Source organism: Homo sapiens, chromosome 2 (assembly GCF_000001405.40).
Source record: "Homo sapiens chromosome 2, GRCh38.p14 Primary Assembly".
NCBI lineage: Eukaryota > Metazoa > Chordata > Mammalia > Primates > Hominidae > Homo > Homo sapiens.
In genome coordinates this window covers 238,631,778-238,641,578 of record NC_000002.12, presented here as the reverse complement: position 1 = coordinate 238,641,578, position 9,801 = coordinate 238,631,778, and the positions used below count along the sequence as shown (strand labels likewise).

The window sequence follows — 9,801 nt, the reverse complement described above, 5'->3', positions numbered from 1 at the left end:
TGAAAGAAATAATGAGTTGCATAGTTGGATTTCAAAGTGCAAAAATCCTATAAGACAAATATTCCTTTTACGCATTTTACAGATGAAGAAAATGACTTCCCAACATTTACAGCTGGTTAACAGCAGACCAAGAATTTAAAACTAGAACTTCTCTTTTAAATCCAAGTACAAAAGCTTGCCCTTGTACCTCAACCTTCCTTGAGAAGGAGAGTCGCTCGGCACTTTCCGCTCACCAGAAATGGAATCATCTCACAGGTTCTTTTTATTGTAATGAGAATTATCATGATATCAGAAAGAAATGACATTCATAAAATTTTTTTGATTTTGGCGTTTTATTTCTCCATCTTCGAATCCCATTCCTCTAAAGTATAAGCCATATTTGTCTTGCAAATCCTAGCTCTGTAGGAAAAACAAACAGAACAAAACAAAATCTTTGAAACGTGTGTTGCCCTTAAAAACAAACAGCAATCATGGCTGCCTCAGTCATGGAAAGTCTGAATATCTTCACAATGCATAATTCAAACACATCGGAATATGTTTTGTTTTAAAAATTTTCCCCAAAGTTGTCTCCTACTGGTTTATATCTACAACATGTGCATTCGTCTGATTTTTAGCAATAGACGCTCAGTATTACATATGCATCGGAGGAGGAGGATTTGAGGTGAATTAATTAATTTTCTAAGATGTTCCATGTGTTCTTGTTTGCTGAGAATTTCTTTAAGGGGCATATGTGTTGAAAAAACTGTCCACTTTTCTACTCAGTACTTAGCACGACATGACCTACCAGAAGCGGGATGACCACAAAGACCAAGTTATGCTTCCTGGCTTTTAGGAAAAAACCACCTTCGTGGCATTTTGTCGGGATGCTGCATCTGGAAGGTGATCCGAGGGGCAGGCTCCTGACAGTTAGTGGTGCCCTTCCCCTGCACCCCATCCCAGGCAGGGCTGTAAGGACAGACCCATCCAGTTCTAAGCACCAAAGTTGACCAGTCCAGTAAGGAAGACAAGAGCATCCCGTGCATCACTAGAGAGACTCCGGACTCTCAGGAAGACAATGAAAATCTTCTTCCACGTCCTTAGGCTCATGGCTGCAAGCCAACCACAGATGGACAAATGTGCCAGAAATCACAGTGCCTGGGGACATGCAGTTCATGGATAGAATTTTCTGGAAAAGTGGAGCTACCCAGAAAACTTTTTTTTCCAACTTTCTCATTCAAAATATTTTAATTCACTTGTCTGCCTTGATTTGCAAAGGAAGGGATTTATTTTATAATCACATATCTTGAGTGGTCCCAGAGGACTAGGGAAAGAAACATTCCCACAGCACCAAACAGGTAGCTATAGAGATATCTATAGACATTGGACTAAATGTGTCAGAGTTTTCTTTCTTTTAATTATCCTCAAGATAAATTTGATTCCTCATGCTTTTCCTCTTTCTCCTAAAAACAGAATGTACTGACTTTTGGCCTGGCACAGTAGCTCACGCCTGTAATCCCAACACTTTGGAAGGCCGAGGCAGGTGGATCACCTGAGGTCAGGAGTTCGAGACCAGCCTGGCCAACATGGGGCCAAAACCCCGTCTCTACTAAAAATACAAAAAATTAGCCAGGTGTGGTGGCGGGCGCCTGTAATCCCAGCTACTCAGGAGGCTGAGGCAGGAAAATCGCTTGAACCCGGGAGGCAGAGGTGGCAGTGAGCCGAGGTCATGCCATTTCACTCCAGCCTATGCAACAAGAGCTAAACTCCATCTAAAAAAAAAGAAAAGAAAAAAAAAAGTCCTCACTTTTTTCTTCCATTTCATTGAAGGCTTCCAACATTTGAATTCAAAGAGTTTCAAGGTCTCTTGCCTATAAATCGAGTTCTACATGTGGGCTAACATGAATCTTTCTACAAACATTAGATTCAAGGTGGAGATGGACCAAGACTTCTACTTTAATAACAACTGAAGCATTGGGAAAAGTTAATATTCAGAATCCGAGCTGTCCAGAGCTGCCAGGGAAAGTGCTCTGAAGACAAAGAGATGCTTTGTTCTTATTCTCAATAGCACCTCGAAGCTGAGCACATCTCATTCAGACAAACAGAAAATTGAAGAAAATTCACCTCTGAGTGAGATCAAGTATAGAAAATGTGAGCCTCGAAGGGAAGATTTGCCAGAGGCCTCAGGCAAGGAAAAGCAGGGAATCTGAAGGCAGCTGTGAACTGTTGCTAATATGCTCGGAGCTTCTCAAAAGAATGGGAAAGCTGTGCTTCCAGTGGGGACAGAAATGTGGCTTTTCTTGCTTAAGCCACCTGGCGATGCAGTTTGTTTCATCTCTGGACCCCTCTTCCTCAACCGCAGAGTGTCGCCGCATAGCCATTCTGGAACCACCAGCACCCGTGAGTTGCCTCAGGTGAGGAGTGGACTGAGGTGCACAGTGGTTGAACGCCTTCCTTTGCTGTGCGGCACCAGCGACACTGCATCTGTGCATGGACTCACCACGGAACACAGCCGTCGTGACCCTTGGCAAACGCTGCTCTGCCTGAAGGCTCCCGGGACCCAGAGGCAGCACTTGACTGCAGGCTGTGAGGTATCTGCAGCCACAGTCTCTCACAATGGGCATTCCTGGAGCCTTTTGACAGCAAATCCCATTTCTCAGATACATAGGCTCCAACCCAGAGTGAAGGCAACACGTAGAGGATGCTCCCAGCCCCTTCCCTGGGACCTGCCAGACAGCCCTGCCCTCGGGCAGAAGTGAGTCCTGCACCCAGGGGAGGGCCACGTCCTGGATCCCACATGTGTCAAATGTCACCTGGCTGAGCTAGAAACTCCTTTGCTCACATGTTGTGACACCTCGCATCATGGTGCCTGCAGCTTCCCCAGAGAAACCTCACTGTCTTTGTGATCCCCAACATGCAGTGCCCGGTGCTGTCTCCTGATATTTCACGGCTGCCCCTCCTTCGTTGGAGGACAGCCGTCCAAAGAGAGAAGACGTTCAAAGGCCACCGAGGCAGGCAGCACCAGCTGCAGACCATTGAACCTATCAATCAAGCACTGCCTAAATCACATTTACTCACATCCACACACGACTGTCACGTGTCCAAGTGACAGTTGTCAGGACAAAAGAAAGGGCTCAGGGGACAGATTCCCAAAGTCTTCTCAAGTCAAGTGTGCTGTTTCTGTGCCCATCTCACGCAGAATGCCAAGCGGGAAATGTATTTTCATCCATGCCACACAGCTTTACCATAAAGCAGTAGGTGGGCCCCAAAACACACTGGGCTGCCGAGGCCATCTTGGGGCGCCACTGCCTACCTCTGAGACCCTGGGCAAGTTGCTGGTCTAAGCCTCGGGCTCTAGTCTCCCAGGATAAGGCTGGCCCACCAGGCTAGCGAGGCACTCACACAGGGCGCTGTAGGTGAAAGGCCTGGAGAATTGCAAATTGGACCACAAAAAGATCCTCTGGGGTTTCTTTTCCTTTTTTTTTTTTTTTGAGACGAGTCTCGCTCTGTCACCCAGGCTGGAGTGCAGGGGCGCAATCTTGGCTCATGCCAGCTCCGCCTCCCGGGTTCACGCCATTCTCCTGCTTCAGCCTCCAGAGTAGCTGGGACTACAGGCACCCGCCACCACGCCCGGCTAACTTGTTTTTTGTATTTTTAGTAGAGACGGGGTTTCACCGTGTTAGCCAGGATGGTCTTGATCTCCTGACCTCGTGATCCGCCCGCCTCGGCCTCCCAAAGTGCTGGGATTACAGGCATGAGCCACCACACCCTGCCAGTGATGTCCTTTTCAATCTGAACAGCATGAGCATGAGCCCTCCTGAAGTGCACCCGAGAGAGTGGCTCGCTGCCCAGGCTGCCACTGGACTGGGGCCACTGTGGGCATGACCAAGCGTCCATTGGATCAGTGGGATTTTTTGCTGAGTAACAAATCACCACAACCTCAATGGCATTAACACACACTTGTTGTCTCACAGTTCCTTTGGGCTAGGAGTGCAGGCACATCTCCTGGAGGATGGGCACAGCTCTGTGCCACACGGCCCTCTCCATAGACATCCCACAATGTGGCGCCTTCCTTCTTCCAGGCCAGCAGGTGAACATCTCCCAGAAGTCAGCTATGACAGAGTCTCATTGAATGAAACAAAAGGAAGCCACCTGCCACCCCTGTGCCATATCTGTGGGTCAGAAGCATGCTGCAGATCACCCTCACCCCCCAGCGGAGGAGATCACACAAGGAGGCAGGGACCAGGGGCACCCTAGGGTATACCCACCACATCGTTCTTCCTGGATGAGGCATTCTTGGTGGTTTCATTGGTCTTCTGGGTGTTTCCTTGTTGAAGGGTGTTCTGGAAGTAAGCTCTCAAAGACCACAGAGTTATAACAGGAAAGTTGGAGGGGCCTGGGAAGTGATGGAGTCCCGCCCCCTCCATCTAGACAGGAGGACGGAAGCTAAGGTGAGTGAAAGCACCTGTTACGGCTCATAGATCTTGTTGGAGTCAAGGCTGGGCCTCTTACAGCTCATAGATCTTGTTGGAGTCAAAGCTGGGATTGAAATCTAAGCACCTCCTTCTATTGCACCCCTCTAAAGAAGCACTACTGCCGTATCTCTAATTCAATGTCACTTTGCCTCCTGCCAGAAGAGAGGAGTTGGCATTCTCCATCATTTCCAAGCCGGCACCATTTGTCCCTTCTCAGCCACAGCACGTCGCTCATTCCAGGTCCCGATACTTTGCTTTCTGAAAGCTCTAAACTGATAGAGATGTTATGGAGGGCTAAGATTTGTGTCACTTGTTCTGCCGCACATCTGCATGGATAATGACAGTCACGGGAGGCTCAGCTGGGCACTCCTGGAGGGAGATGCTTTACATGGGAGTCATGCAAGGCAGGGAAAAGTTGCATAGGAAATCGCAATCTCTCCTGGGATCTGATAATAATTTAAACATTCCTCTGAGACATTTGAGATTCGTAGAAAGGAGGGGAAAGTTGCTAACACAGAAAGAATGTGAGCAATAAAGCAAGCGTCCAGGAAACCACTGGCTGCCTCCACTGGGGAGCAGGTGTCCCTACTGCAGCCTGGCCACTGTCACCACATGCCGCCACTGTGTGCATTGCTCACAGAGTGTAGCCGTTACACCTGCAGGCCTGAAACAAAACAGGAACCAACAGGCAGGAATAAGCAAGCATCCGCCATGCTGCATGGCAGCGTTCTCCGTCTACAGTGGCTACAGTCGCTCCGTGCGCGTGCGTGGAGTTGAGATCCCTCAGAGGGTCCCGTGAGCCATGGGCCCGGCCTCCCCTGTCGGGCTGGCCAGGGTCACATGTTGATCCTGCTCCAATTCTTCCTGGTCTTTTCAGGAAGACAGAGAAAATAAGCAGACGGGAAACAGAAACCCTCCTTGTGGATGAGGGCTAGAAAAATATTTTTAGATACCCAGCTCAAGCACCCAAATTAGGTGTGTTTCAATTAAAGTAAATTCTCTGGCCATTCTACTCCCCACCCCACAAAACAAGAACCTCATAAAAAGCCTTCCGGCAACTTCTAACCAGTATTCACTGTGTCCCCCCTCCACCACCCTCCTGGGACATCTGTTTGTGAGAGCAGATTGCATTCAGCTGATGTATTCACCAGATGAGTGGGACGTGCCCCTCGGCCTAAAAGAGTTGAGTGTGTGCTGGGGTGGATTTTGGGGTGGGGGGGGACACAGATGTCCACCAAACATTTTTAGTGCGCAGAACCTCTGACGCACAAGTGTCTGCTGATGTTAATCTGGGGTGGCATCTCTCCCCGTGACTCACCAGTGGGTCCAGCCGCCCACTGACCTCTGAAGCCATTTGGGCCCTTCAGAGTGTGAAATTTCAATTTCTACATCAGAGCTTTGTATGTCAGTCCCGGAAAAAAATGCTTTATGTGAGAGCAAGGTTGATGTTTTCCAGGTCAGCATTTCAGCTGGGGAAAGCGGAGAGAGAAAGAAAGCAATAATTTCTACCAGGCACACATCGAGTTTGTAAACACAGCGTTCTCCCAGCACTGGGGTCTACTTGAGGGTGGAGGGTAGGAGGAGGGAGAGGAGCAGAAAAGATAACTGTTGGGTACTGGGCTTCATACCTGGGTGATGAAATCATCTGTACAACAAACCCCCATGACATGAGCTTACTTATGTAACAAACCTTCACATGTACCCCTGAACCTAAAATAAAAGTTTACAAAAAGACCCCATTCTCCAAACTCATATGAAAGTGCTGAGCTGCTTTCAAACACTGGGGAGTCCCTAAAATGCCAGCTGCCTGCATTTGACCCTCTCTCCAGCTGGACGTGAACGCAGGCCCAAGACAGAACGGAGCCCACAAGAGGCTGGGTTGCCTTTGCCCTGCCCTTAGAAAAGGGAGGGCAGGTTGGCATGGTTACCCAAGATGGTAGCCTCAGCAAGGCCTTTATCCCACGTGGGCCCAGACAAATGGCTTCACCTCTCTGTTTGCTCACTGCAAGGTGCCCCCATGCCTGTGCCTGCCCCGCCTCCCAGTGTGTGCTGTCTCAGACCCAAAGGAGCCCTTCCCTCTAAATGGGATCAGTCAACACAAAAACCACCTGACTCTTTACTCTGGGGAAGGACATTAAAGATGCCCCGTCCATGTCTGTGGGATGAAACCACCATGTGCCCTCCTTCCAGCACTCGTAGTGCTGCCGCGATGGAGGAGGAATGGGACAAGCTGGGAGACATGACTCTCATTGGAGGGGTGACCTCGGCCCCTCCTCCCTCTAGTCACATCCACTAGTCTCCCAGAGTCCCTTCCTGACACCAAGCTCTATGATGCAAATCTGATGGCTGCAGGGTCATCTGTCCGAAACAGTGGAGTTTGTGGGGCCTCCCTGCATTGCGAATGGTCACAGTCACCTCTCTGCTGTTAGAGGGGACCCCAGCACAGCTGGAAAGTCGTGTCGGCTCTTGGAGAAAACTCTGTAAACCAGCCGGGTCTACCCACAAATGGAGGATTCTGGGGTATTGGGTGCCCAGGCTAGACCCGCTGGCATCTGAAACTAAGGTCATGCTGGTAATGATGGAGCCACCTGAAGAATATCGAGGCAGTAAATGAGGTTAACCAGACAGAGGGAATGAGGAAGGAGAAAGAGCTTAGGGTCCCTCTGAGCCGAGGGTCTCATCCACTGAGGAGGAGAACACACGGAGGGCAGGAGGAGGTGGTGATGTGGCCTTCGCGGGAGCTGCAGGTGTCTCTGTGACAGCCGACTCCCCAGTGCTGGAGAGCACGATTCTGAAGCCGTTAGATTCAAAGGATTCGGCCAGGGTGTTTTTTACTGTAGGTTTTTCTCGTGAGTAGTCTGGACTGAGATATGTTATTTGCATTTTACTTAACTATATTTACTGCTGGCTGGGAGGTGAAAATTCAATGCACATGAATCTGAGGTGATGTAATTAGAAGCAACAACATGGGACCAGTTGAGTTCCTGGGCCAGTGGCCCCCAGATAAGAAGCGACACCCTGCAGGCACAAGGTAACTCTCCAGGGTACAGGGAAAATATTAGGTTTTTACAAACAAGAAATTAAGCTTTACCAATATCTAAAGTATACATTGAGTGATGTACGTGTAAAATGTATATAAAAATGAATGGAACACGTACTGGTAAGGATCCGCCATGACCAACATCTAGGAAGGGCAAACTGACTGACAAGGAAGGCGACGCACTGAACTGACTGACAAGGAAGGCGACGCGCTGAACTGACTGACAAGGAAGGCGACATGCTGAACTGACTGACAAGGAAGGCGACGCGCTGAACCGACTGACAAGGTGACACGCTGAACCGACTGACAAGGAAGGCGACGCGCTGAACCGACTGACAAGGAAGGCGACGCGCTGAACCGACTGACAAGGAAGGCGACGCGCTGAACCGACTGACAAGGAAGGCGACGCGCTGAACTGACTGACAAGGAAGGCGACTGCTGAACTGACTGACAACGTAGACAACGCACTGGGCATCCGGCCGCTGACCCGGCAAGCACTCTCTGAGCTTCATCTAGTGAGATGAGGGGAAGAACACAAAAGAATATGAGTAACAGAGGGGCCTTTTCTTTTATAAAAGAGTAAGATTTTACTTTGGAAAACTCTAGAAAAAAAGTTAATATTGAATAGAATAATCGTTCACAGCCTTGGATCCCGAAGCTTCCATGGCCTCTCAGCACAGCAAATACGGCTGCTTGTTGGGGCCTGAGGGCTTCTGTGTAGTATCTGGAGGACTCCCCCACACACACCCCCTTCATGCATGCACACCCACAACACACAACACACACATAACACATATCCCATACACACTGCATATACCACACACATCACACACTACACACACATCACACACACATCCATAGCACACATACTACATACACCACACACATCACATTCACAAACATCATAAACACACCGCACACGCATCCCTGGTCAGGAGAGTGTCGGGATCTGGCTAAGCCGATGGATGGGGCTCCAGCCCCTCACTCTGTACTTCAAGTGGGAAAGGACAGATGTCTACCTGAGATCCCACCTGAAGAAGGTGTCCTGTGGCCACATGAAGTGGTCCCGGAGAGGGACCTCCTTTGGGCATGACCAGGTCCCTGCACATGCTCTCCAGGTGCGTGGGGCATTTTGACGGTACTCGCCATCCCCGAGGCTGGCATGGCTTTCCCCTCCCCAGGGCCAGTGCCCTTGAGAGCCAGCTCAGCCTCATTGCCTCCTCCCCGGCGTCTGGGTGGACAGCTCATGGCCCTGGCCCCTCAGTACCCCCTCACCCTCGGCACGGCCAGCACCACCGCTGTTCACCGGAAGAGCGTGGAGCTCCCCGTATGGGCAGCGTCCAGAAAGGCCGCTCTCCTGGGCGGTGCAGGCTGAGAATCCCTGCTGCAGGCAGTGGTCAATATTCCAGGCATTGAATGATCTCCAAGTTGGGTCGAGCCCTGGCTCTGCCACTTGCTGGCACGTGTACCTGAGCCACAGTCTCCTCTGTCAAATGGGGGAGCCACTACTGTGCCTCTCCACCGTGTTGGTGAAGGACGTCACACCCAAAGCCAAACCAGCCCTCCAAAAATAGCAGCCATGTCATTCCTACAGACACTTCTAAATACACACAGAACTGGGGCGACGTAAAAACAATTAGAAATCAGCTAAAAATAAAATCAAAAGGTTGGTGACACATGCTCAGGTCCTGGATGGTCCTAATGAGATAGGCGGCCTCAGCCTGGTCTCCTGCCCATCAGCAGTGGAGCTGGCGAGGGGCGCCAGTCCCTGGATTCCAAGGCCTTTCTGCCTTTGGTTAAGTAGTTGATGTGCCATCAGTTCTGCTTAACCTCCCTCACGCCTGTCTCTGAGTAATATTCAGTGTCAGCCCTAATTAAACCCAGGAGCACTTTTATAACTAAAAGAAGAGGTATTGGCCCGTGCTGGGCTGAACAACTGTCTCCTCTGGGCCCAACAATCCCATGTTTGATCAATAAACTGAGCAGCCAGAGGCACTGACCAAGGGTAGGAATTTCAAAGCCTGGGGGTTGTTCCTGCCCAGGAGAAGGCCTGGCAGGAGGCAAGGATGTCCCCAAGGCCCCAGCCTGAATAGATGCCACATAGTCTTGCCACGTGCCCCGTCATCACAATGCCCAGGCTTGTAACATGCCATTTCCTCCTCACAGTAACCTGCAAGGCAGAAGTTATCACTTGCTGCAAACGCAGAAACAGAGCTATAAATGGTCCCGTGACCTCACCCAGGGTCTCACTGTGGGGAACTGTCTGTTCAAACCCACGTCTCTCTGGCTTAAAAAGTTATATTTCTACCC

At 50.1% G+C, this 9,801-nt stretch overlaps 2 annotated features.

The window, feature by feature from the left end:
- Positions 2,508-3,009: an enhancer, noted in NCBI's record as "H3K4me1 hESC enhancer chr2:239547211-239547712 (GRCh37/hg19 assembly coordinates)". NCBI's record gives its function as "activates a minimal SCP1, AML or CMV promoter by ChIP-STARR-seq in primed H9 embryonic stem cells {active_cell/tissue: H9 hESC(primed)}" and the evidence as "EXISTENCE:reporter gene assay evidence [ECO:0000049][PMID:30033119]".
- Positions 7,625-7,825: a silencer, noted in NCBI's record as "peak4103 fragment used in MPRA reporter construct". NCBI's record gives its function as "represses an SCP1 promoter by STARR-seq MPRAs in K562 erythroleukemia cells {active_cell/tissue: K562}" and the evidence as "EXISTENCE:reporter gene assay evidence [ECO:0000049][PMID:32103011]".